This window comes from Homo sapiens, chromosome 13, assembly GCF_000001405.40.
Source record: "Homo sapiens chromosome 13, GRCh38.p14 Primary Assembly".
NCBI lineage: Eukaryota > Metazoa > Chordata > Mammalia > Primates > Hominidae > Homo > Homo sapiens.
In genome coordinates, this window is record NC_000013.11 from 113,122,799 (window position 1) to 113,149,939 (window position 27,141).

Sequence of the window (27,141 nt, forward strand, 5' to 3'; positions counted from 1 at the left end):
GACTTTGCTCCAGCAGCCTGTCCCAGTGAGGACAGGGACACAGTACTCGGCCACACCATGGGGCGCCCACTGCACCTCGTCCTGCTCAGTGCCTCCCTGGCTGGCCTCCTGCTGCTCGGGGAAAGTCGTAAGTGCCCCTCGCCCTTCAGACCCAAAAGCAGCGCCAGGGAGCAGGGAGGGGCGGCAGTTGGGGAAACCCTCTCATCTCTGCAGCCTGGACGGTGGGTGCCTTGAGTGCTGCCAGAGGCTGGGCTCGGATGGCTGGGCTTGGCCTTTCCAGCCAACGGCATCCTCAAGGCCAGCTGTGGCTCCCTGGGGCTGAGAGTCAGACGGGCGGATCAGAGGTCACAGAGACAAAAACACAAGGACAGAGTCAGAGAGAGAAAGGGAGAGGGAAGGAGAAACGGAGACACAGTGAGATGGGAGGCCAAGAGGCAGAGACAGAGGTAGAAAGACGGAGACAGAGAGAGAGGGAGGGGTTGGGGCAGGCAGAGACAGGACAGTTAGCCATCTGCCACCACAGGGAGGCACAGGACGAGGGGCACAGCAGAGGAGCTCCCAGGGAGGAGGAGGCTGAGCCGAGCCAGTGCCACCACTCTCGGACTGGCTCCGTCGGGGAAGGAGCTGCCTAATGCACAGCTGGACAGGTGGGGGCAGCAGGGCTGTCCAGGACCCCCGGGTCTGTCCAAAAGCAGAGGCCCAGACAGGACAGAAGCCAGGCAAGCCTGGGGACAGCGGAGGAAGAGGAGGCCCCTCTGGTGGGGACACGAGAGACAGGGACCCTAGACTTGTTTGCATCCTGGACAAAGTGGACAGGCAGGGGCACCAAGGGGACCCAGGCCTGGGAAGGGAATGTGTGAGGGAGAGACGGAGCAGGGGGAGACCCTCGTGGGGTGGAAAGGGGAGACCCCTGGGAAGGCTGAGTGGATCCTCAGTGCATCACTGACCTAAACGGCCCCTCCGCCTGGTGACTTGGAGCTCCAGTCACATCACACGGGGGTCTTCTCCATCCCACCCTCAACCCCCTGCCCTCCCCAGCCTCTGTCCCCTGAGCCACATCTTCCTGTCTCCCACGCGGAACGGGACTCCCGTCTTCATGGGGTACTGTGTGGCTCCAACTCGCCCAGCCTTCTTCCTCCCCCTCAGGCCACACTGCCCCCTGCAGGAGCCCACTGTGATGCTTGTGGTGGGATGAGATCAGCGTGGGTGGAACAAGGCCCTGGAAGGACCCATGCCATCATCATCGACAGCAAAGCTACTCTGCAAACAGACAGATGCTTCCGCGAATTGGTAGAAAATTCTGCAGCCGGAATGCTCTAGGATCCTGAGGCCCTAAGCCCGGCCCGGGGCTCCCGAGGCCCTAAGCCCGGCCCGGGACTCTGGAAGCTGCTCTGGCTTATTGGGAATGGAAGTTGGCAGGACTCCTCTTCCTGGGAAGAAGCAGAGGGTGGGGATGAGAAGACAGGCCAGGAGCCCACCCAGACCCACAGGAGGAAACTAGGGGAGTTATGCAGAGTCCTGGTGGAGCGCCAGCTTCCCTTCCTGCCAATGGGAAATGCAGGCGCCCACCTCGCGGACCTCTGGGTCCACAGGGTATTGGCACCCTTAGCTGTGTGATGCGGGCCTGGCTCATAACCATGGCCTGTGGTGTCCCCGGGGGCCGGCCTGGACCCTGGGTGGACATGGCCAGCCCCGGAGAGCCAGGGCCAGGCCATCTCTCTCCCCTACTCTGCCTCAGAGGCCTCGGCAGCTGCACTGTGGGGTGGGTGGGGCTGAACACAGGTCCCAGAAGGTCCCACTCAGGACCCTGCTGTGCACACTTTTGATTTTAATAAAATCAGAATGCGCACAGCATCTGCAGTCTAGCCTTTAAACGAGCACAGCTGTCCTGGCAGTCACGGAAGTTCTTCTGGGGCGGTGGGACCTCAGCATTCCTTTGCTGGTACTGCTACAAGAAAGGACAATGGACCAAGTAGCTTAAAGCAACAGAAACATTTCTCCCACAGCTCTGGAGGCTGGAAGTTCAAAATCAAGGCGTCAGCGGGGCTGGTTCCTCCAGAGGCTGGGAGAGAGTCTGCTCTAGGCCTGTTTCCTGGCCTCGGGGTGCCAGCGGCCTCACAGCCCATGGCTTGTGGGAGCATTGCTCCCATCGCTGCCTCCATCATCGCATGGGGTTCTCACCATGGCTGTTTTTCTGTCTTCTTTTCTCTCAGAAGGACACCAGTCATTGGATTTAGGGCTCACTCTACTCCCATAAAATGTCTTCCTAACTAAATACATCACAAAAGTTCTATTTCCAATTAAGGTCAGGTTCTGAGGTTCTGGGAAAGACATGAATTTGGAGGGACATTATTCAGCCCTGTCCTGCCACCTGTGAGTGTTTTCTGCAATCCAACTTTTTATTTTAATAAAATCAGAATACGCAGAGCACCTGCAGTGCCAGCCTTTAAACTACTGCTGTTGTACTGGCAATCATTAAAGCTACGTGGCTTCAGTTTCAATCTTTACATTCAACAAGTTTAAACCCATTCTTCATGAGTTTGGACCTTACTGACTGAAAATTTTGCTTGCTGGTAAAACTTGCTCAAATGCAGTTGCTGACTGTGGAATTCACTGATGTTGCCAAAACAACAAACACAACTGTGTGCTCGAGGATTGCAATGCTCCCAACAGCTTCTGAAGAAACAAACCACACGACAAATGTCTACCAATCTGGATGCTCCATATCAGAGTTCTAGAGTGTTCCATTAATTTCTTGAGACAAGTGCCTAAAAACCTTGTTTTAATTTCGTTTTGCCAAAATCCCATTTTACTCACATCAGAAAGTGTGGCCACGTGGCCCAGACCCGGCCTGCTCAGTCTGACTGAAGCGTTGATGCGACTCAGCCATAACAGATAGCAGAAGCGCCCAGATTCAGTCCAGAGGGCTGAGCCAGGCACGCCATCTTTCCTTCATTCCCTCAACACATATTGGTTAAGTTCCGGCCGTGCTAGGCACGGGCATACAGCTGTGACCAAACACGTCAAGTCTTTTTCCAGCGGAGGGAAGGATAAGCCTGTCAGCATGTAATGTCAGAGAGGGGTTGGGTGCTAGAAGACAAATAGCACAGTGTAAGGGGATGAAAGAGACACGAGTGGGGGCAACGTCAGAGGGCGTGGTCAGGGAGGGTGTCTCGGAGGGCGCTGGGCCTGAGCCACTTGGGTATCTGTGGAAAGAATGTTCCAGACAGGGAGGTGACTGGTGCAAAAGTCCTGGGGTGTGAGTGTTGGGCTCAGCCAGGGTCAGCGCAGAGCCCAGTGTGGCAGAGAGAGGTGAATGAGGGCAGAGTTGAAGGTGGTGAGGCCTGGGAGGCCTGGCCATGGGAAGACCCTGGGCTCTGTTCTAAGACCACTAGAGGCAGATTCTGGGTAGTCCTTGACTTCCTTGCATCACCCTTTCCACCCCGTGCCTGCCACCTGTACCCTCTTCCTCACACAGTCCAGCTCAACCTTATAGGCCGTGTCCTACCCCCATGAGCTGGGGAGAGCTGAGCAGGCTTCAGGGAGATGGGAAAAGGCGGGAACTGGACAGGGGCTGCAAAGGAAAGGTGACTTCTTACTGGTCAATCAGCCTGGGGATGCTCGGGGGTGGATGCCAAGGGGAACAGAGCTGTGGCCGCTATCACAGAACAGCGAGTTCCTCTAAGAGGTCAGAGGAGGCGCAAGGGATCGACCAGAGACAGTGAGGGCGTCAGGCTCCAGTTGAGTGGGGACCAATCCTTGTGGCAAGTCTGTGAACCATCACTGTGGCTCTAGGGTAGCAGAGAAAAAAGCAGGCATATGTCCATCTGGCCACAAGGAAGGAGACCAAGGGGAAGAGAGAAGGTACCAAGAGAGGTGTTCACATGGAGGTGCGTCAGAACACCGAGGGCAAGGCAGAACGCGGTCTTCAGACCCCAACTGGAGCCCAGGAGGCCCGCGAGTCCCAGTTTGGGAAACACTAAGCCAGGCTTGGATAACTTGTCTGAGGCTGTGGTCATCCCAACATGAGAGCCAGAGGCCCCAAGGGAGATGGGCATTCCCCACCCCTCAGCTTCCTCAGTGCCTTTTGTGGAGTGGAGGTGACATGAGGCTGCAGGTTGCAGGGAGCCACGTGTGGGCTGCATTTCAGAGCAAGTGTGTGGGAGTGGAGCAGACACGCAGAGTAATGGGGCAGGGTCAAGAAATAATAAATCTAAGTCTAGCGTTGGTGGGATAATGTCGGTGTCACTAAAAGAAATGGGGAATTTGGAAGGTAAAGTAACTGGAGGTAGGAATGAACCCAAGATTTACTAAGCACCTTCTGTATACCAAACTCAACACTAGGAGTTTATACAATCTTTAAAACAGCTCTAAGAGTAGATATTATAATTCCCTTCTGCCAATAATAAATAATAAGTGACTAAGGTGTTTTTGAAGCTCAAGATTGCTTGATTCTGCAGTCTTGTTTTAAATTTTGGACATGGAGAGTTTGGAGTTCTGAGATGAGGGAAGGCATCTGTCATAGTGAGAGAGCTGAAAACATGGAGCTCAGGACAAAAGTCAGTGCTAGAGAGATCAGTTGGAAGAGTTATCTTTATTGTAGTGAGACATTGAATTTTTCAGTGGAAAAAAAGCACAGAAAAAGACTACAGAGGGCCAAGAAAAGAAACTGAGGCTGTCAAAATGAAAAGAGGAGGAGGAGTGGGTGAGAGACAAAGGAGACACAGGCAGAGAGATGTGGACAGCACAGCCCACAGACACACACTCTACAAGGGACACAGACTCTCGGATCCAGGGCATTTTAACCAGCAGATCAAGACTCATTTGCCAGTCATGAAATCAACTCAGTATTTTTTTTTAAAAGAGTAGAATCAAATAGAAAACTTTGTACTAAGTACTGTATTTTAGGAAATACTAATAAATACTATTTCTTGAAAGTTGGCATGTATGTGTGTCCTGGCACTTCATAAATTGTACTATTATAGTTTGTAATTGAAACAGCATCACCAATCCCCACATAACAAAGAGCAGAGACCTTAAAGACGAGTGGGGCCAGGCTGAAGGGGCACAGCTTGAGCCAAAGCACAGAACAGTGGGCTGAAAGCACCCTAGGGAGGGAGAATTCAAGGAAGGGGGCTTGGGTGGCCAGGCTGAGCCAGCGTGAGCATGTGAGGAGGCTGGTGAGCTGATTGGGTGGGATGTGTCTACTTCTCCAGAGAAGGGTGCATGGGTCTAGAGCAGGTGCCTCATGCTGTACCTCATAGAGAACTGGGGGGAGGGGGGAAATGGGCATTTCCCTCCACAGCCCCCAAAGTGCCTGAGGAAAGTGTTGATAAAGAAGCCAAACTCTGTAAAATATTTGAAGAGATTTATTCTGAGCCAAATGTGAGGACCACGACCCATGACACAGCCTTGGAAGGTCCTGAGAACATGTGTCCAAGGTAGTTGGGTCACAGCTTGATTTTATGTATTTTAGGGGGACAGAAGTTACATACAGACACCAATCAATAAGCATAAGTTGTACACTGGTTCGTTCCAGAAAAGGGGAAGGTGGGGGCTTCCAGGTCATAGGTGGCTTCAAAGATATTCTGATTGGCAATCAGTTGAAAGAGTTATTATCTAAAGACCTGGAATAAATGGAAAGGAGTATCTGGGTTAAGATAAGAGGTTGTGGAGACCAAGGTTCTTGTTATGTAGATGAAGACTCATAGGTGGCCACCCTTAGAGGGAATAGATGGCAACTGTTTCCTCTTCAGACCTTTAAAAGGTGCTACACACATGGCCAGGCGCCTTGGCTCATCCTGTAATCCCAGCACTTTGGGAGGCTGAGGCAGGTGGATCACTTAAGGTCAGGAGTTCAAGACCAGCCTGGCCAACATGGTGAAACTCCATCTCTACTAAAAATACAAAAATTAGCCGGGTGTGGTGGTGCTTGCCTGTAGTTTCAGCTACTCGGGAGGCTGAGACAGTAGAATCTCCTCCTGAGGCAGGACAATGGCTTGAACCTGGGAGGCAGATGTTGCAGTGAGCTGAGATTGTGCCATTGCACTCCAGCCTGGATGACAGAGCAAAACACCATCTTAAAGAGAAAAAAAAAAAAAAAAAAAAAAAAAGGTGCTAGACTCTCAGCTCAGAAAAAGACCTGGAATGGTAAGGGGGTTCTCTACAGAATGTGGATTTCCCTGAGATAGCTTTGCAGGGCCATTTCAAAATATGTCAAACAAATACAATTTGGAGTAAAATCATTTATTTTAGGGCCTGCTATATGTCATGTGATCCTATACTAGAGAAGTCAGGTTGGAAACTGGTATCTTATTGCTACAAAGACTCTGTTTGGTCAGCCTCAAGGTCTCTTAACGTGAATGCTGGTCAGCTGTGCCCGAATTCCAAAGGAAGAAATAATGAGGCGTGTGGGACCTGCTTCCCCTCATGGCCTCAACTAGTCTTTCAGGTTCCTATGGAATTCCCTTGGCAGAGAGGACGGGTCCACTCAGTGAGTTGGGGGCTTAGAATTTTATTTTTGGTTTACAAGAGAGTGATCCGCCTTTTGTGATCTGGATATGGCAAGGGACATGGCAGTCAGGGAGCATAGGTGAGGGGGAGCCTGGGTGAGGGTGACCAGAGCTTTTAACCCTGTCCTCCCTGCCTTCCAGTGTTCATCCGCAGGGAGCAGGCCAACAACATCCTGGCGAGGGTCACGAGGGCCAATTCCTTTCTTGAAGAGATGAAGAAAGGACACCTCGAAAGAGAGTGCATGGAAGAGACCTGCTCATACGAAGAGGCCCGCGAGGTCTTTGAGGACAGCGACAAGACGGTAAGGGCTGGGGATAGCCTGGCTGTTGGTAAGGAGCTCAGGCCACAGCGCCCTCGCTGGCCCCGCTGCTCCGTCCATCCAGGGGGGCGGCCTGGAGGAAGGGGCAGCGTGCGCGAAGGCTTTCAGGGGCGGGGCCCAGCAAATCGAGGCCTCGGCGGAGTCCTGCCCACAGGGACATCAGTGCCGCCCCCGCGCTGACTCCTTCCCGGCGAGGACTCAGCGGGGAGGGATGCGCCCAAGTCCCTTGAGGGTCACAGGGCTTCTGCCAGAGTTAAGTTCTATTTAAAAATAAAATGTTAACCTAAAAACCAATAGTCATGGTCTCGGCCAGCGCCTCGCCGAGTTGCAGTGAGCTGAGATCGTGCCCTCCCACGCCCGCAGCCCGCGTCCTGCCTTGGCCTCCGTAGTCGCTGAGAGCCACAGCCTAGAGCGCCAGCGCGCAGGCGCACAACTGACGCCAGGCCACGAACCCAGTACTGCTCCTGCACAGCAGAAGCACTAGCACTGAGGCCGGGCGGCGAACCCGGCACTGCGCCTGCGCAGCAAAAGGACACGCACTGAGGCCAGGCCGCGAACCCAGCACGGTGCCTGCGCAGCAGGAAGACCGGCATCCACACCGGACGACGAACCCAGCATCGCGCCTGCGCAGTAGGAGGAGAGCAATGCCACCAGGCCGCGATTGCGCAGCCGCAGCAGCCCCGCGCGGAAGACGCTACCCTCCTCTCCCCCGAAGAGGCGGGGCTTCGAACGAACCTGGAAATGGCCGAGGGGTCTCGACTTCCTCACCCCAGGCATCAGGAAAGGTGCCTGCAGGACAGGGCTCTGAAGTGGAAGTGGGCGGTGGTGATGCCGAACTGACAAGAATGAGCTGAAGAGAAGAAAGTAGCCGAGAAGGGGGCCAAGCCGGAGCTCAGTGAGCAACAGCTAGGCCAGCCGCGGCTGGTGCCATCAGCCACACCACTAACTGTGGACCCAAATGGAAACTTTGAGGCCCCTTACAGGTCCCCCAGCGCAGGCCACCGCCGAAGGTTACTGGGGAAGACCCCTGCAGCTTCCATGTGGACATTACTCGCTTGCTTCATCCCGGAGTGCAGTCACCTGCAGCCTGGGACCACCTGACTGATGTCACCCTGGAGATCCATGCCAAAAGAGCTGGGGAAAGTTCACCTTCTAATGACCCCTGCGGACCAGGGTGAAGTTACAAGTTATGGCCAGGTCAAGGAATTATAAGTCAATAAATAAACTGCCTCAGGGAGACGTACTCAGAGTCCAGGAAAATCTAGGAAACACCAAGAAGGGCGAGCGCAGCATCAGCCCCTGCAAAATTGCACTGCTGCCTCCTGGCTCACATGTTGCCCCATCCTTACTTTAGCCTCAAAGGCAAGGAGACCCAATATTATTTGAGTACTTGGATTTGATCCTGAGTGACTTTCTGAGAAAGCAGTGTATCATCTGCCCTAAGATCACCACATATATGACAAGGTTTTTGGATGAGTTGAGATTTCTAGACATTGAAACCCTCATGATGAACGTCATCCCGGGTAGCAGGGGCTAAGCCTTTCATCACCTGCTACAACAAGCTGGACATTAACTTGTATTTGAGAATTGCTCCAGGACTCTACCTTCAGATGCTGGTTAGTAGCATTGACTGGATTTATGAAATTGGATGCCAGTTAAGGAATAAGAGAATGTATTTGATTTGCCACCCTATATGGTCTGTGCAGACTGTCATGATCTCATTGAAATCCAAGAAAAGATTATGTCAGGGATGAAGCACATCACAGGTGGTTACAAGGTCACCCACCATCCAGATGGCTCAGAAAGCCAAACCTATGGGTTGACTTCTCCTCACCCTTCTGGAGAATCAGTGTGGTAGAAGAGCTTGAAAAAGTGCTGGGTGTGACGCTGCCAGAAACTAACCTCTTTGGAACTGAAGAAACTCAAAAAATTATTGGTGATATCTATGTAACAAAAGCTTTTGAAAGTCTTCTACCTCAGAACATATTCAGGCGCCTTGATAAACTTGTCAAGGAGTTCCTGAAAGTGACTTACATCAGTCCCACATTTATCTGTTATCACCTGCAGATAATGAGCTCTTTGACCAAATGATCTCTCTAAGAGGGTCTCACTGAGCACTTTGAGCTATTTGTCATGAAGATAGCTGAATGTTTCCATGCAGCAACAGCAGCAGCTGTTGACAAACAAGACAAGGCCAGCAAAGATGATGAGGCCACATTCATAGATGAAAGCTTCCATGCAACCCTGGAATATGGGCTTCCGCCCACAGCTGGTTGGAGCGTGACAATCAAATGTGTTACCATGTTTCTCACAGACTCCCACAACATCAAGGAAATATTTCTGACTCCTGGCATGAAACTTGAAGAAAGAGAATGTAGCAGCCACTAATACAATGGAAAGCGCAACATTGACACGTCTATCTAGAAAATTTTAATTGTCTAAGTTGTGTGACTCAGATATCTTTGCATTTCTGCAAAAGATCAAGGTCTACTCTAATTCTTAATTAAATTAAGAATTCCTTTTTATTACTTGTTAGCAAATAAATGGCTTGTCTCTAACAGAAAAAATTTAGAATTTTCGGAAATATTTTCAAATACTTCTTATATATACATATATTTTTTTCCACTGGTAGAATTTTTCTTTAGTAAAAGTAAATAATGCTGATCCAAGTTTATGTTTCACTCAGCATCGTTTCTCAAACACTCTTCTTTACTTATATATAGCTACCCTATAGCTAAGCTATATTTTATTGTATGATGCATTTACTCTTTTCAGAGTTTGGCCATATAAGTTATTTCTAAATATTGCTATTAGGAAAACACATATGCATGCATTTCTTCTAGATTATCATCTAAGAGTGGCTTCTCCAGAGAGAGACGACTGAATTAAAGGTTATCAACAAGTTCCAATTCCAGATAAGATGAAGAAATCACATTCCACACTGCCTCTCCCACTGAGTGTAGCTCCAAAACATGGATAGAATGCATGTAGCAGCTATTTGACGACCCTAAAAAGTAAATCGCAGTGTATTGCAGAATAAGACTACAATTAGATGTATGATATGATACAACTGGCTGTGAGTTTATCATTTTTTCCTCCAGTCTTCCAGACATCACTTGACCTGAATCTAATGGACATTTATAGGATTCTCAACAATAGCAAAGTACACTTTCCTTCCACATATGGAAAATTCCTCAAGGTAGACTATATCCTGTGTCTTAAAGCATACCTCAATAAAAAGATTGAACTCACATAAAGTATGTTTTCTGACCATAATGGAATTAAAGTAAAAATTACTAACAGAAAAATAACTGGAAACTTCCCTAAGTACTCGGAAATTAAGTCACACATGTATAAATAATCTGTGAGTCAAAGAGAAAATTTTAAGGGGAGTAAGAAAGTATTTTGAGCTGAACAAAAATGAATATGTAACATAAAATCTGTGGGATGCAGCTAAAAAAGCAGTGTTTCAAGGGAAATTTATAGCATTAAATGCTCACATGGGAAAAGAAAGACGGTCTCAAATTGTTTATGTAAGCTTCCACTTTAATAAACTAGAAAAAAAGAAAAAAATAAACCAAAAGGAAATTGAAAAAGCAGAAATCAAAGAAATTTAAAACAAAAATAATAGACAAAATTAATAAGCTGATGAAACTCAAACAAGACTGACAGGAATAAAAACAAACAAACAAAAACAAGAAAAAGGACCTATGTTGGAAATGGAAGAGAGGGGACATCACTACAGAAACTGTAGATGTTAAATGTATAATAAGAAAATACTTTGAACAACTCTGCATATATAAATTTGCATGAGATTTGAACTTGGATGAAATGAGCCTATTCTTCAATACCACAAGCCACCAAAACATACACAAGGTGAAAGAGATACCTGCCAATTCAATTCTTAATTTAAAACCTTCTGAAAAAGTAATGTTCAGGTACAGATGGTTTCACTGGTAGAATTTTACCAAACATTTCAAAAAGAACACCAATTCTATACAACTCTTCCAGAACATAGAAGAGGGAACACTTCTTAGTTTGTCTTAGGCCAGCATTACCCTGATGTCAAAACCAGACAAATACTGAAAACAAAAACCACCCTACGTAACAATATCTCTCATGAATCTAGACATAAAAATCCTCAACAAAATATTAGCAAACGGTGCAGCAATATATTTTTAAAAGAGTAATAATACACCATGACCAAGTGAGTTTTTCTGGGGCACACATGACTGGCTCAATATTTAAAAATAATTATGTAATCCACCATATAAACAAAAGAGAACATCCACATAATCATGTCAATTGATGCAACAAACAAATCTGGCAAAATTTAACATCCATTTATGATTTTATAAAAAACCTATCAGCAGAATATGAATAGGAGGGAATTTTATGAACATAATAAAGTTCATCTACAAAGAGTCTACAGTTGATATTATACTTAAAGGTGAAAACTGAAGGTTTTCTCCCTGAGACTGGAACAACACAAGAATGTCCATTCCCAACACTCCTAATTCAACATTATACTGGAAGTCCTAGCTCTAAGGAAGGCCTTCAGTAAGTCAAGAAAAAGAAATAAAGTTATCACTATTTGAAGATGACATGATCATGCATATAGAAAATCCTAAAGAATGTGAAGGGGAAAAAAGCTTGTTTTAGTCCCTTCTCACGCTGCTGTGAAGAACTACCCGAGACTGGGTAATTTATAAAGGAAAAAAGGTTTAATTGACTCAGTTCTACATGTCTAAGGAGACCTCAGTAAACTTACAATCATGGCAGAAAAGGAAGCAAACGTGCTCTTCTTCACATGGCTGTAGGAGGGAGAAGAATGAGAGCCGAGCAAAAGGGGAATCCTCTTAAAAAAAATCAGATCTCATGAGAACATACTCCCACGAGAACAGCATGGAGGAACCACCCTCACGATTCAGTTACCTCCCACTTGGTCCCTCTCACTACACATGGGGATTATGGGAACTACAATTCAAGATGAGATTTGGGTGGGGACAGAGCCAAACCATATCAATGCTCCTAAAATTTGCAAATGAGTGTAACAAGGTCACAGAATACAAGGTCAGCACATGTGTTAATCACATTTTTATGTAATAGCAATGCACAGTTATTTGTAAGCCAAAAATTTTTAAATGCCATTTACAATTGCTTCAAAGAAAATTATATACTTATATGTAAAGCTAATAAAACATATACAGGATCTTTATCCCAAAATCTACAAAATTCCAATGAAAGTATTTAAACAGACCTAAATAAATAGAGACACATACAGTGTTCATGGATTGAAAGACTCAACATATTAAGATATCAATTTTCGGCCGGGCGCGGTGGCTCATGCCTGTAATCCCAGCACTTTGGGAGACCGAGGTGGGTGGATCACCTAAGGTCGGGAGTTCGAGACCAGCCTGGCCAACATGGTGAAACCCCGTCTCTACTAAAAAAATACAAAAATTAGCTGGGCGTGGTGGTGTGCGCCTGTAATCCCAGCTACTCGGGAGGCTGAGGCAGGAGAATCACTTGAACCTGGGAGGTGAAGGTTGCAGTGAGCCAAGATCAAGCCATTGCACTCCAGCCTGGGCAACAAGAGCGAAACTCTGTCTCCAAAAAAAAAAAAACAAAAGAAAAGAAAGAATTGTCTTTTTCAACAAATTATATTAGTCTCAGTCTGTTTGTGCTTCTATAACAAAATAGATCAGACTGGGTAAATTATAAACAGAATAAGGTTATTGCTCACAGTTATGGAGGCTGGGAAGTCCTCCAAGATCAAGAAACCAGCAGATATGGGGCCTGATGAGGGCCTGGTCTCTGCTTCCAAGACGGTGCCTCATGGCTGTATCCTCACCTGACAGAAGGCAGAAGCACAGAAGGGACAAACACTGTGTGAAGCCTCTTTTATAAGGACATTAATCCTATTCACAAGGGCAGAGCCTTCATGGCCTAATCACCTCCTAAAGATCTCACCCTTAATACTATTACATTGTCGATTAAATTTTAACATATGTATGGGGGGCATGTTGAGACCATAGCAGTGTTGGAACAATTATATATTTATATGCAAAAAAATGAACCTGACCTAAACTTCACAATTATACAAAAATTAACACAATATAGATAATAGATCCAAACATAAAATACAAAACTATAAAACTTTTAGGAGAAAATACAACAAAATTTATGACATGGAGCTAGGCAAAAATTCTTAGACATTGACACCAAAAGAATGATTAATAAAAGAAAAAAGTCATAAATTGGACTTTATCAAAATTAAAACCTTTTGCACTTCAGAAATAAACACTGTTAAGAGGATGAAAATACAAGCTACAAACTAAGAGAAAATATTTGCAAATCACATATCCAACAAAGGAATCATATTCGGAATATATAAAGAAATCTTAACAGATCAGAAGAAGAAAATAAACACTCAGTTAAACAAAAGACCTTAACAGCCAACTCGCCAAAGAGGATATATGGATAGAAAATAAACATGTGAGAAGATACTCAACATTATTAGCTCTTACAGAAATGCAGATAAAAACCACAATAAGAACGACTATATACTCATAGAGTAAAAAACACTGACACAGAACAGCGCTGGTTAAGACACGGAGAAAGCAGAACTTTGATACACTGCTCGTGGGAATGCAAAATGGCACGGCCACTTTGAAAAGGAATTTGACAGTTTCTTATAAAGTTATATAAGGTTACCACAGGACTCGGCAATCCCATTTCTGGGCATTTACCCTAGAGAAATGAAAACTTATTTCCACATAAAATCCTGTACATAAATGTCTATAGCAACTCTAGTCTTTTTTTTTTTTTTTAATTTTTATTTTTTGAGACAGAGTCTTCCCGTTGCCCAGGCTGGGGTGCAATGGCACAATCTCGGCTCACTACAACCTCCTCCTCTCAGGTTCAAGTGATTCTCCTGCCTCAGCCTCCCAAGTAGCTGGGATTACAGGTGTGTGCCACCATGGCAGGCTAATTCTTGTACTTTTTTTTTTTTTTTTTTTTTTTTTTTTTTTTTTTGAGACGGAGTCTCGCTCTGTCGCCCAGGCTGGAGTGCAGTGGCGGGATCTCGGCTCACTGCAAGCTCCGCCTCCCGGGTTCACGCCATTCTCCTGCCTCAGCCTCCCAAGTAGCTGGGACTACAGGCGCCCGCCACTACGCCCGGCTAATTTTTTGTATTTTTAGTAGAGACGGGGTTTCACCGTTTTAGCTGGGATGGTCTCGATCTCCTGACCTCGTGATCCGCCCGCCTCGGCCTCCCAAAGTGCTGGGATTACAGGCGTGAGCCACCGCGCCCGGCCAATTCTTGTACTTTTAGTAGAGATGGGGTTTCACCATGTTGGCCAGGCTGGTCTCGAACTCCTGACCTCAAGTGATCCACCCGCCTCAGCCTCCCAAAGTGCTGGGATTATAGGCGTGAGGCACCACGCCTGGCCAGCAACTCTATTCTTAATTGCCAAAAGCTGGAAGTAAGATAAATGTCTTTTGCTGGGTGTACCCATACAATATAACAGTTGTCAGCAACAACAAGTAAGAAAGTATTGATACAACTTGCATGAATTTCAAAGGCTTTGTATTGAATGAAAAGCTAGTTTCACAAGGTCCTATAATAAACACTTTCATTTACATGACATGCTCAATAGGTTGTTATCATTGTGATAAAGAATAGATTAGTGGTGGGACAGGGTTTGCCAAGGGTTGGCAGGTGGGGGAGATGGCATGGGGTATTTGGGGGGGAAGGATGGACCTGTACTGCATCCTGATGATGCTGGTGGCTACAGAAGTCTCTCCATGTGTTGAAATTCATAGAAGTGTACACCAAAACATTGGTTTTGCTGTGTGAGAATTTTAAAAGTAAAAAAGTAAGAAGATAGTGTATTTGCTTCCTAGGGCAACCATAACAAAGCACTACAAACGCCTTAAAATAACAGGGATTTATTGTCGCAGCTTTGGAGACAAGTCTGAAATTAGGGTGTCAGCAGTGTTGGTTCCTTCTGGAGGCTCTGGGAGAGTCTCTGTCCCAGGCTCTCTGCTCGCTTCCAGGAGCACCCGGCAATCATGGGCATCCTTGGGCTGCGGACGCGTCGCTCCTGTCTCTGCTTTCATCTTCGCATGGCCTTCTCTCTCTGTGCCTCTGTGTGACTTTTTCTGTCTCTTATAAGGACTTTCTCCTTTATTTAGGGCCCACACTGACCCAGCATGATCTCTTCTACAGCCTTGGCTTAGTTAACATCTGCAAAGACCCGATTTCCAATTAAGGTTCTATTCTGAGGCTGCAGGTGGACCTGAATTAGCAGGGAGGGCACTATTCAACCAACTGTAGAGAGTTAAAAAACAATAAGCCTGTGGACATTTTTTAGCGTAATCTAGGCTCTTGATGACCTGTTTTAAACTAATCAGCAATGAATATTTTTCAGCTAACGTAATGACTATTGACAAGCACGTGACCCTTGTCTGAATGTTAACTCAGGCATAGCAACTAAAAACCATCCATTGACCAGCTCGGGAGTAGCAAACAGAGCAAGCCATTCTTGGTGCAACCTGTTTCTAGGTAATTAACTTGAAAATATTTTCAATATTCAACAAAGATGGTTCATTTAAGATGACTGAAGCCACATCTTCACAGATGCAGAAGATCTGAATAGCTTTCCTCTTTAGATTGAATAGTTCTAGAACAATTCATTCCTAAAAGTGACTTCCATTGGGGAAAATATCCTATTCAGCTTGAGTCACTTAATTATGGTTGTTATTGGTATAAAATGTCTCTGTTTTCCCTAATATATTTTTAAATTTCTTTTTTCCTTTTAGAATGAATTCTGGAATAAATACAAAGGTCAGTATTTTTTCTGTTTTAACCTTCAGTGAGAGGGGTTCATCAGGATATTTGAATTTTGAAAATAGTTCCTGAATTTCCTTTCTGCTTTTGTTCTCATTTTACTCATTTAAGACTTTTTCCCTCAGGGTGTTTCCATAATAGTTATTGTAAAAGAGTTTTTAGAGTAATTTTATACTAATCCTAGTTTTGTTATTGAGTTAGAGATATATATTTAAATCAGTTCATTCTCATTTGAGGATACCAAATTCCATGATAACTTTTCTTAAATAAAAGTGTATTCGGTAAAAGCAAAAAACAGAGTCTGAAAGATTAGATTCCCGACTAAGGTAACCACCTTGATTTAATGCTTAATAGCATCTGAAGTGGCCTCAGTCATGACTACCTGGTAACAGTATTCACATTTCTCAAAATGACAACTGGGCCTATCTCTAAATGAGATTGTGTAAATCCTCCAAGAAATGGGAAGCCCCGTGTTAGTGTTTGCCTTCTCCTTTTGCCCCAGGATGATTTGGAAAGAGGAACCCTAACCTCCTCTCCCGTCAAGGCCCAGCCCAGAAATGAGCATCAGGCTCTCACCTTTCCTCCATCCTTCCAGTTGGTCCCTGTGGTCACCTCTGACTGTAAACACACTGCAAAACACCGGCAAAAATCAAAAAGCTGGGCCGGTGATCCACCTAGATAAAGGCATCACGTACACATGGCCACAAAAGGGGGTGGATCAAATAAAGTCCAAAGAGGGGGAGTTGTTTACAGAGAAACCGGAAGACTCTTCCAGTTATCTGAACGGCAGGGCCAAGGTTAGCACAGCAAAACTGTTTCCATGATGCCGGAAACAGCTTGCAGACTCCAGTTTCGAAATCCTCTCTTTGCAGATGGCGACCAGTGTGAGACCAGTCCTTGCCAGAACCAGGGCAAATGTAAAGACGGCCTCGGGGAATACACCTGCACCTGTTTAGAAGGATTCGAAGGCAAAAACTGTGAATTATGTAGGTTCCTCTGCTTGGTATACCTTCAGATCAGATGCCCCTGAAGAGTGGCAGGTGGGCGGGGGAAGAAGTGAAAACGCCTAATGAAACAATCTTAAGTCATTTCTGATTTACAAAGTCTGGGCTCTATTATACCTATTATACTGTGCCACTATAGCAATAGAAAAAAAAGCCCCAATATGTCCCCCAAACGATTCGGTTTGGGGGCATGATGAGAGAGACACAGTCACTTCTCTGCTCCTCCGAGAGAGACTGTAGAACATTGATGAAGCGTGTGATCCATTCATGTGTAAACAGGAGTGGACTCTCTGTTTTCCTTGGGGCCAAGTGCATTGCCCTGTTATTCCTGCTCCTTGTGACCCTGTGCAGTGATTCTAAATCACCTCTTATTTATGTGTATGGATGCAGGTGTCAATATTTGTGAATATTTGTGATTGGCCAATTATAAAAATTTGATACATTTAATTAGTTCTACGTGGAAAAATCACTAAGTGCTTTCTCTAATGTGGTGATTAAGTTTTAAATAAAAAGTTAGGCTACTGTTAGATCAATTTCCCTAAGGAAAAAGATTTGCATTTCTTTTAAAGTACTTAATTGATCATCTTTTTTTTTTTTTTTTTTGAGATGGAGTCTCGCTCTGTGGCCCAGGCTAGAGTGCAGTGGCACGATCTCAGCTCACCGCAAGCTCCGCCTGCCAGGTTCACGCCATTCTCCTGCCTCAGCCTCCCAAGTAGCTGGGACTATAGGCCCCGGCCACCAGTCCCGGCTAATTTTTTTTTTTTTTAATTTTTTAGTGGAGACGGGGTTTCACCGTGTTAGCCAGGATGGTCTCGATCTCCTGACCTGGTGATCCGCCCGCTTCGACCTCCCAAAGTGCTGGGATTACAGGCGTGAGGCACAGCGCCGGCCTAATTGATCATCTTTAGACTGTGTTCTTAGATTGGATTACTTTTGAGTTTTCCCTGATGAGAATATCAATTACGCATCATTCCATTCCAAGTCCGCAGTCGCCTCCCTGGAACACCATTTGGTAACTTATGAGGCATAACCCTGTTCAGGCTCCCAGGGCTATTATGCACATTTTCTAAAATTTCAGGCATGTTGATCTTTGCACTGTGATTACTTTTTCATCAAAAGCCACACAGAGGGATGTGGAGTGACCGTAATGTGAGTGCTGCTGGGGCAGGGGGTACCGGCCATCCCGGAGGTGTGAGGGGCAGGTACCTGGAGCCTGGCTTCTGGCTACACCGGGCACTGCACCATGAGCTCCCCGTGACCCGTGAGGTTGCCCTTCAAGGCAAGTGTACCTGTCGCCTGGCTCTGGCCCTTTGCTCAACCCAATGGCCGCTTTGTGGCTGACAGGCAAGTGGATGTAGCTGGCACCCTTGGGCCAGCCCAGCCTCCATTTCTCCAGCTGTCCCCAGAGCCAACGTGCCTCTCCTTTGCAGTCACACGGAAGCTCTGCAGCCTGGACAACGGGGACTGTGACCAGTTCTGCCACGAGGAACAGAACTCTGTGGTGTGCTCCTGCGCCCGCGGGTACACCCTGGCTGACAACGGCAAGGCCTGCATTCCCACAGGTAGGAGGCACGTTGGGCCACAGCCACCCGCTGCCGCTGGGCCGGGCCAGGGAGGACAAGCCCGTGCCAGGGGGTGGGGACACAGGCATGTTCTGGGCGGGCCTGGCAGGTAACAGTGACACCAAGAGGACAGGACTGAGCCCTGGGCTCCGGGCCCAGGTGGTTCAAACATGAAGACCATGAGGTTTGGAAACAGACCCATTATTTCTGTAAGCCAGATCTGCTGTTTAACCTCAGCTTCCCCATCTGACAAATGGGACCAACACTATTGCCTGACTGCTTGGGTGATCCCTGGAGCACTTTGCATGATGCCTGGCCCACCGCAGGCCCTCAGTCTGCATTGGGACTGTGGGGGGATCCAGTGCAAGGGCTCAAAGCACCAGGGCAGGCAAAGGGCAGAGCTGGCCCGAGGAACTGGAGCTAAGGTGCGGGGCTGGGATAGGAGTCAGGGGACGCTCAGGCTCTGAGCTCCTTTTACCAGGACCAGTGTTCATTGAACGTAGTTTTTCTTTTCCTTGATGAATGTGGACAACAGGCGGCCAGAGGGCAGTGAGCACAGGACAGGCAGGGGACTGGGCAGGGTGGGGACGAGCCTCCCTGTCCTGACCCCGTGGGCATTGCCTACGCTGGGCTTGCCTGGCTGCCGGCACTTCCACACGGCCAGCACACATGAGGCCCTCGAAGGCGGGGCCTAGGCGTCACAGCTGCACCTTGCACAGCAACCCCACTCCCACTCATAGCTGGCCCGACCCGCAGCGTTGGCCTCACCCGGGGGCATATTCGAAGGGCAGAGTTCCAGGCCCGCCTTTTCAAGAGCCTGGTGACCCAGCTCACCTTCCGGCTTCAGGTGCGGCTCAGCCCCCAGACCGTGTTCTGCCCCCGGCTACCATGACTGTCCCCTCCAGACACAGGTTACTCCCGAGTGTTCTGTCACTCTTCCTTTCATATCCTTCTTACCGAAAACAATTTACTTCCAAAGATGAGTGATCACGAAAAGACCGGGTTCCATATGCATCCTTCAAGCGCTGCTTCAATTATGTGCCTGAAACATCTCAGCAAGTGAAAGACACTGTGGCTGACCTTGCTACTGGCAATGACATTCAAGCTTAAGCTGGTTAAAAAATATTTTAACTGAAGTCATTTCTTGACATACACACGAATATTTTTTAATTCTAGAAACAATCACAAATCCATTTAAAACCAAGTGTGGGCCGGGTGCAGTAGCTCATGCCTGTAATCCCAGCATTTTGGGAGGCCAAGGCGGGCGGATCATGAGGTCAGGAGATCGAGACCATCCTGGCCAACACAGTGAAACCCCGTCTCTAGTAAAAATACAAAAAAAAAAAAAAATTAGCTGGGCATGGTGGTGCACGCCTGTAGTCCCAGCTGCTCAGGAGGCTGAGGCAAGAGAATGGCGTGAACCTGGAAGGCGGAGCTTGCACTGAGCACTGAGCCGAGATTGCGCCACTGCGCTCCAGCCTGGGCAACAGAATGAGACTCTGTCTCAAAAAAAAAAAAAAAAAAAAAATCAAAAGGCAAATGTGATGTGTGAAAATAAAATTACATAATCTACTTTGTAGTGCAAAAAGTTCAGGCTGGGCAAGGTGGCTCACGCCTGTAATCCCAGCACTTTGGGAAGCCAAGGTGGGTGGATCACCTGAGGTCAGGAGTTCAAGACCAGCCTGGCCAACATGGTGAAACCCTGTCTCTATAAAAAAAAAAATACAAAAACTTAGCTGGGCGTGGTGGCGCACGCCTGTAATCCCAGCTACTCGGGAGGCTGAGGCAGGAGAATCGCCTGAACCCAGGAGGTGGAGGTTGCAATGAGCCAAGATCATGCCATTGCACTCCAGCCTGGGAGACAAGAGAGAAACTCCATCTCAAAAAAAAAAAAAAGTTCAGTTCCAAATAATGGATGAACTCAGAACTTGGAAGGGTGGTGACTGCACACATGGACAGAGCTGAGGCACGGCGGGGTGGAGGCCCCTGCGGCTGGCAGATTCACCGGAGCCTCCTCAGACTGCGCAGGAGCACAGCAAGTAAACAGCTAAGCTGTGCCCATCTGACCCCAGACACGTGTGGCCACAGAGAAGCCCCTTGCCATCCATTCCCCCCTCCTCTCCTCTCCTGCTCCCCCACACCCCTGCCTTCCTCCAACATGTTTCAGCCATTCTCTTGGCCTTGGTGCCCTAATTGGCCGTTATACAAAAGGAAGCTTCCTAACATCTCGGCGTGGCCTCTCTGGGAGCTGTGCTATTCCAGACGCTCTCCTGTGCCTCCAGTTGTTTGCGTGCGCCATTCCTTCTGCCTGAAAACTTTTTTTTCTTCAATGTTTCATTAGGAAAAGTTTTCCAACACACAGCACACTGGAAAGAATTTTGCAGGGAGTCGCACACGCCCAGCACTTGGGTTCTCCTGTTGGCATCCTCCGGCCAGATGCATTCATCCCATTTCGCCCGGCCCGTTTGTCTCTGTCCATCCGTCAAGCTTTCTTGACTTCTTGGTGCATTTTCAGGCAAACCGCAGACGCCAACACTCCCCTCGCTGCCTGGGTTGCTGCCTGGCGTCCATTGTTCACAGGCGGTCACCTGAGGGGAGGCCAACGCTCGGACAGCTGCGCTCACCTGCAGATCCGACCCCTGCCGACGACGTGGGGCCTCGCCCTGCAAGCCCGCTGCCCCTCCGGGTGCCCCTGCGCTCTGCCTCCCGGCTCTCTGACTCTTCTCCCTCAGGGTGAGCTGTGCAGGCTATGGGGAGCCTCTCTCTGTGCTGAAGGCCCCGGCCGTCCTCTTTCTTTCAGGGCCCTACCCCTGTGGGAAACAGACCCTGGAACGCAGGAAGAGGTCAGTGGCCCAGGCCACCAGCAGCAGCGGGGAGGCCCCTGACAGCATCACATGGAAGCCATATGATGCAGCCGACCTGGACCCCACCGAGAACCCCTTCGACCTGCTTGACTTCAACCAGACGCAGCCTGAGAGGGGCGACAACAACCTCACCAGGATCGTGGGAGGCCAGGAATGCAAGGACGGGGAGTGTCCCTGGCAGGTAACAGTAGGATGTCCCCTCGGGCCTGCTGGAGAGACCACCTGTCCCGCTGTGCACCTCGGGGAGGCCAGCCTGACACTTGGAATAGCAATCCGGGAAGGAACTGTTCCGAACTAGGACAGAGGGGCTCCGCCACCCAAGCCTGCCTGCCTGTCCCCTCCCTCCGGGCAGCCAAGGAGGCTGTGAGCTCCACAGGGAAGTGGCCGGGGCTGAGGGAGAGGCTGGGCCCAGGCAACGCCCCCCTCAGCCCCTTCCCACTGGGCATTTCCATGGCTGCCCGTGGCATGCCCAGGACGATGCTGTCCTGTGAAACAGAAGAGAGGGAGAAGGCGCAGCCACACGCTCAAGTGTCCTCAAACCTCCCCTACACCAGGAGACAAGGCTAAAGCCAGGGAGCCACCCACACTGCAGGGGCATCAGCGGGCAGGAGGACGGTGCCGGGTGGGCAAGGCCTCCATCTGCTCTTCTGTTTGACGGGAGGCAGAAAGAGTTGGTGTCCTCGCTTCATTTCTAATTTTGGAATTTTTTTACCCAAACACCTAAATCCTATGGAGGTAGATAGTACCTTAGAGAAAAACACATCTACTTATTTTCAAAGGTAAAAAAGAAAATCACTCTTTGAGGCTTTTTTGTTAAGAGACAGTACCTTGCTCTGTTGCCCAGGCTGGAGTGCAGTGTCGCGATCTCGGCTCACTGCAACCTCCACCTCCTGGGTTCAAGCGATTCTCATGCCTCAGACTCCCAAGTAGCTGGAATTACGGGCGCCCGCTACTTACGCCTGGCTAATTTTTTTTTTTTTTTGAGACGGAGTCTCACTCTGTCGCCCAGGCTGGAGTGCAGTGGCGCGATCTCGGCTCACTGCAACCTCCACCTCCCAGGTTCATGTCATTCTCCTGCTTCAGCCTCCCGAGTAGCTGGGACTACAGGCGCCTGCCACCACGCCCAGCTAATTTTTTTTGTATTTTTAGTAGAGACGGGGTTTCACCGTGTTAGCCAGGATGGTCTCCATCTCCTGACCTGGTGATCTGCCCACCTCAGCCTCCCAAAGTGCTGGGATTACAGGCGTGAGACAATGTGCCCGGCCATGCCTGGCTAATTTTTTTATTTTTAATAGAGACAGGAATTTCACCATGTTGGCCAGGCTGGTCTCAAACTCCAGGCCTCATGTGATCCACCCTCCTCAGCCACCCAAAGTGCTGGAGTTACAGGTGTGAGCCACTATACCAGGTCCTAATCTTTGATTGTTGATTTGGACTAATGCTGCCAGATTAAACAAATAAAAGCACAATACTTTCAATTAAATTTCAATTTCACATAAACTAGAAATACATTAAACAAAAGCACAATACTTTCAATTAAATTTCAATTTCACATAAACTAGAAATACTTTCAGTGTAAGTATGTTCCAAGTATCGCATGAAGCATACATATGCGAAAAATTATTTGCTGTTTATCTGATTCAAGTCAAACTAGGTGTATTAGTCAGTTTTCACACTGCTGACACATACATACCCGAGACTGGGTAATTTATAAAGAAAAAGAGGTTGAATGAACTCACAGTTCCACGTGGCTGGGGAGGCCTCACCGTCACGGTGGAAGGCGCAAGGCACGTCTTACATGGCGGCAGCAAGACAGAGAATGAGAGAACAAGCAAAAGGGGTTTCCCCTTAGAAAACCATCAGCTCTTGTGAGACTTATTCACTTCCACCAGAACAGCATGGGGAAACCGCCCTCACGATTCAGTTACCTCCCACCAGGTCCCTCCCACAACACACGGGAAATATGGGAGCTACAGTTTGAGATGAGATTTGGGTGGGGACACAGCCAAACCTTGTTGCTGGGCATCCTGTATTTTCTCTGGCAATCCTCACTTGGACTTGAATTTTCAGCGCCCAAAACCAGAATGTCCTCTCCTACAAGCAAGAATCTCAGAGCTGCCAGCGCCCCCATGAATTCCCCCAGGTCTTCCCCCACCCCAGACCGTGTGGCGGGTGAGCCTCTGTCTAACTATAAAGAGCCAAGCGAGAGAGGGATGCACTGAGGTGGCTCTGCAATGCATGTTTGTTGAGGGCCTTCTGTGTGTCAGGCACTGAGCCGGGTGCTGTGTAGGTGGGATATGAAACCATGAAGCCTCTCTGTGACCAATACACAGAAATCTCAACCTAGTTAGGGAGCTGAGACCGAAATCCTCCCAGTCCCAGGCACTGTGTGGTTGGGGCAAGAACCTCGATGCAGGAGACCCCACCGAGGATGAGCAGGAAAAGCCTCTTGTGGGGCTGAGGAGCTGGACTTGGAGCTGCAGGCGGGGTTTTGGAGGGGTTCCTGGGCTGGGGGACCAGGGTGGGGCGCCCTGGAGGGCTCACTGGAGGGGCCCTCGCCCAGCCTGTTGAGGTTTGCGATTCTTGTTTCCTGGTTCGAGTCTTGGCAAGTGGGCCTCATCTGCATCTTTAGGAAGAATGGTTGGTGTTCGTGTCTTAGAAAGCCTGACTTTCCCTCATGTAAGCTGGATGATGAGTTGACAAATTATGCAAAAAAGAGGCAAAAACATGACCCCTTTTCTAGCCATGAATGTTTTAAGAAATGTTTTAAGACTCGGTATTGTCAGTAGTTTCATTGGTCTGTACATGTGCCCAGCCACTATCACAGGACGGGAAACTCCCCAGAGAAAAGAAAACCAAAATATGCCCGGGCTCCAAACTTGCAAGTCCAGCTCCCTAGGGACAGCATGTGGCACCCCTGTCAGTGCTTGCTCCCCTGGGACCGTGTTCCAAGTCCTGGCAGGTAGGAGACCCTTCACAGGAGCTGCCACAGGGACCCCCAGGAAGTCACCTGGGATGGAGGTGTCCGTGCACCATGGGGGACAGGCTCACACTGCTGAACCGTCGGGACACCAGGCAGGCACACCGGTTGAGGCAGATGATGTTTCTGCACAGACTGGCGTCTCCTGGTCCCAGGTAGAAATCCTGCCACAGAGACGGGAAAGGCTGCTCCCACAGGGAGCATCTTTTCCAAAGCATGGACAGATGTGTCGTGTGCATGAGACTTTAGAGAGCTCTGTGATGGAGTTGGTAGAAAGAAGAGATGACTCCCTATATCAGTGAGTGTGTGGCACAGGCAGAGAAAAGAGACAGACAAGGAACTGTCCTTGGGTGGATGGCAGGAGACCGAAGAGGACAGCTTGGCATGGGGAGGGCCGGGCAGTGCCACCTGAAGAGCTGGCTTCTCAGTCAGGCAACACCTGTCCACCTGGCCAGCCACACTGAGCCTGTCACGTCTGTCACAGGCCCTGCTCATCAATGAGGAAAACGAGGGTTTCTGTGGTGGAACCATTCTGAGCGAGTTCTACATCCTAACGGCAGCCCACTGTCTCTACCAAGCCAAGAGATTCAAGGTGAGGGTAGGTAAGTGACCAACAGCCCCCAGGGCCGTGGTGAGGGGCACCGTCACTGTCTGCTTTTCAGAAACCACTAAAGCTGATGGAATTTGTTGGGAACACTGGTTGAAATCCTGAAATCCTATTTGTAGGGGTTAGGGGCATTTCACAGAGGAAGAAGATGAGGAAGCAGAGGAAGGGGAAGAGTGGGGAGGAGGACGGGGAGGGGAGGCGAACCAGCCCAGCCCTTCTCCCACTGGGTGTCCAGGTCTCGGGTCTCCGAGTCTCTGGGTCCCGGGTCTCTGGGTCTGCATGTCCAGCTAATGTTCTGTGTCTCAGTGTCTTTTATTGGGAGCCTTCCAGACCTCCCTTTCTCTTTAACATACTCTGAACACCAAGCACCTCTGTCTCTTCTATTTTTATTTGTGGGATTGTTTCATTAACATCTGTCTTTGTCCACTAGACCCTAGAGCTGCTCAGTACAAACCCAACACAAGCTACAAATGCAAGCAATATATGTAAACTGATATTTTTCTAACATTAAATGTTCTATTATACATTTTAAAATATAAAAAAACAGGCTGGGTGTGGTGGCTCATGCCTGTAATCCCAGCACTTTGGGAGGCTGAGGCGGGCAGATCACCTGAGGTCAGGAGTTTGAGATCAGCCTGGCCAGCATGGCGAAACCCCATCTCTACTAAAAAATACAAAAATTAGCCGGGCATGGTGGCACGGGCCTGTAATCCCAGCTACTTGGGAAGCTGAGGCAGGAGAACCACTTGAACCCGGGAGGTGGAGGTTGCAGTGAGCTGAGATTGTGCCATTGCACTCCAGCCCGGGCAACAGAGCAAAACTCTGTCTCAAAAAAAAAAAAAAAATATATATATATATATATGTATATATATATGTGTATATATATATACATATATATACACACACACACACAATTTCCATAATATATCTTATTTAACTCAACATATTGAAAATATTACTTTTTCCATGTGTAATCATGTTAAAGGTGTAATAACACATTCCGCACATTTTCTTTCATGCTAAGTCTCTATTTTACGTTCATGGCACAACTATTTTACACTCTCAGCCAGCGGCCACACCGCACAACCTGGGTCTGGGATGCCAAAAGCCTTCGGTCCTGGGACGCCTCGTTGGTGCCCACGACTGGCACAGACGATGCACCCGCCAAAGGACACAGGAGTGGCGGCCGTCTAAAGAACCAAACGTGTGAGACAGGACCAGTGGTTCCCTGGGCAGCAAGGCTGACAGGCACTTTTATTTGCTGCTTTGCACTTCCCTCTATTTTTCAAATTTTCAAAAGTGATCACGTGCCATTTTTAATTTAAAAAAATATATATAACTTCCTTAAAAAGCAACGGATGTGCGAGAGCATGTCCCTGGCTGAGCTGAGCACAGTCCCACTCGTCTGTCCCAGGGGACCGGAACACGGAGCAGGAGGAGGGCGGTGAGGCGGTGCACGAGGTGGAGGTGGTCATCAAGCACAACCGGTTCACAAAGGAGACCTATGACTTCGACATCGCCGTGCTCCGGCTCAAGACCCCCATCACCTTCCGCATGAACGTGGCGCCTGCCTGCCTCCCCGAGCGTGACTGGGCCGAGTCCACGCTGATGACGCAGAAGACGGGGATTGTGAGCGGCTTCGGGCGCACCCACGAGAAGGGCCGGCAGTCCACCAGGCTCAAGATGCTGGAGGTGCCCTACGTGGACCGCAACAGCTGCAAGCTGTCCAGCAGCTTCATCATCACCCAGAACATGTTCTGTGCCGGCTACGACACCAAGCAGGAGGATGCCTGCCAGGGGGACAGCGGGGGCCCGCACGTCACCCGCTTCAAGGACACCTACTTCGTGACAGGCATCGTCAGCTGGGGAGAGGGCTGTGCCCGTAAGGGGAAGTACGGGATCTACACCAAGGTCACCGCCTTCCTCAAGTGGATCGACAGGTCCATGAAAACCAGGGGCTTGCCCAAGGCCAAGAGCCATGCCCCGGAGGTCATAACGTCCTCTCCATTAAAGTGAGATCCCACTCAAGGCCTGGTTTGTCTCTCGATTGCCGCCTTGCCCTGGCTTCTCCCGCCCTGTTGAGGTGGGAAGGTGAAGTGTCTGTCTGGAACACCAGCTTCCGCCCTTCCCAGCTAGGCTGGGGATTCCTCCAGGGAATATTCTAGTCTGTGGGGGCAGGATGGAGGCTCCAGGGATGATACTGTGCCATGACTGCCATGGGCATTCCTTTCCCCAGATACCTTCCTGCATCTGGGTCACGCCCAGAGGCAGATGGGAGCCTGTGCAGGCCCCGTGGCGTCGGGAGGGGCCCACACGTTGGCGCAGCCTCCCCAAGACCCCCCACTTGGCCTGGTCTCTCTTGTTCCTCTTGGGAATTGGACACCTCCCCGGTGACTGCCTATGACCCGCAGACTCCCTGGGAGGGAAACGTCCAGAAA

At 48.7% G+C, this 27,141-nt stretch overlaps 1 protein-coding gene, 2 long non-coding RNA genes and 1 pseudogene across 5 annotated transcripts, besides 3 other annotated features; 2 read left to right on the forward strand and 2 right to left on the reverse strand.

Annotated features, from left to right (window-relative positions):
- On the forward strand, window positions 1–26,731 carry F10 (coagulation factor X). 3 transcript variants are annotated; one of them, NM_000504.4, is made up of 8 exons: window positions 1–127; window positions 6,654–6,814; window positions 15,659–15,683; window positions 16,559–16,672; window positions 18,121–18,252; window positions 21,053–21,297; window positions 24,581–24,698; window positions 26,118–26,731. In NM_000504.4, exons 1-8 carry the CDS (start codon window positions 58–60, stop codon window positions 26,717–26,719), a joined length of 1,467 nt encoding a protein of 488 aa, NP_000495.1. In that variant the 5' UTR covers window positions 1–57; the 3' UTR covers window positions 26,720–26,731. The 3 variants fall into 3 exon arrangements, with proteins under 3 accessions (NP_000495.1, NP_001299604.1, NP_001299603.1); NM_001312675.2 differs by having other exon boundaries at window positions 24,581–24,688; NM_001312674.2 differs by lacking the exon at window positions 18,121–18,252.
- Window positions 5,357–7,248, reverse strand: F10-AS1 (F10 antisense RNA 1). Its single transcript, NR_126424.1, has 3 exons — window positions 7,208–7,248; window positions 5,937–6,079; window positions 5,357–5,627 (listed from the first exon to the last, which is right to left on the reverse strand). It is a non-coding gene; the product is annotated as a F10 antisense RNA 1 (long non-coding RNA).
- Window positions 6,426–7,152: an enhancer, noted in NCBI's record as "H3K27ac-H3K4me1 hESC enhancer chr13:113783538-113784264 (GRCh37/hg19 assembly coordinates)". NCBI's record gives its function as "activates a minimal SCP1, AML or CMV promoter by ChIP-STARR-seq in naive H9 embryonic stem cells {active_cell/tissue: H9 hESC(naive)}" and the evidence as "EXISTENCE:reporter gene assay evidence [ECO:0000049][PMID:30033119]".
- Window positions 7,153–7,879: an enhancer, noted in NCBI's record as "H3K27ac-H3K4me1 hESC enhancer chr13:113784265-113784991 (GRCh37/hg19 assembly coordinates)". NCBI's record gives its function as "activates a minimal SCP1, AML or CMV promoter by ChIP-STARR-seq in naive H9 embryonic stem cells {active_cell/tissue: H9 hESC(naive)}" and the evidence as "EXISTENCE:reporter gene assay evidence [ECO:0000049][PMID:30033119]".
- On the forward strand, window positions 7,624–9,242 carry KARS1P2 (lysyl-tRNA synthetase 1 pseudogene 2; annotated as a pseudogene).
- LOC124903215 (uncharacterized) lies at window positions 14,770–16,559 on the reverse strand. Its single transcript, XR_007063879.1, has 2 exons — window positions 16,263–16,559; window positions 14,770–15,083 (listed from the first exon to the last, which is right to left on the reverse strand). It is a non-coding gene; the product is annotated as an uncharacterized LOC124903215 (long non-coding RNA).
- Window positions 20,368–21,213: an enhancer, noted in NCBI's record as "H3K27ac-H3K4me1 hESC enhancer chr13:113797480-113798325 (GRCh37/hg19 assembly coordinates)". NCBI's record gives its function as "activates a minimal SCP1, AML or CMV promoter by ChIP-STARR-seq in naive H9 embryonic stem cells {active_cell/tissue: H9 hESC(naive)}" and the evidence as "EXISTENCE:reporter gene assay evidence [ECO:0000049][PMID:30033119]".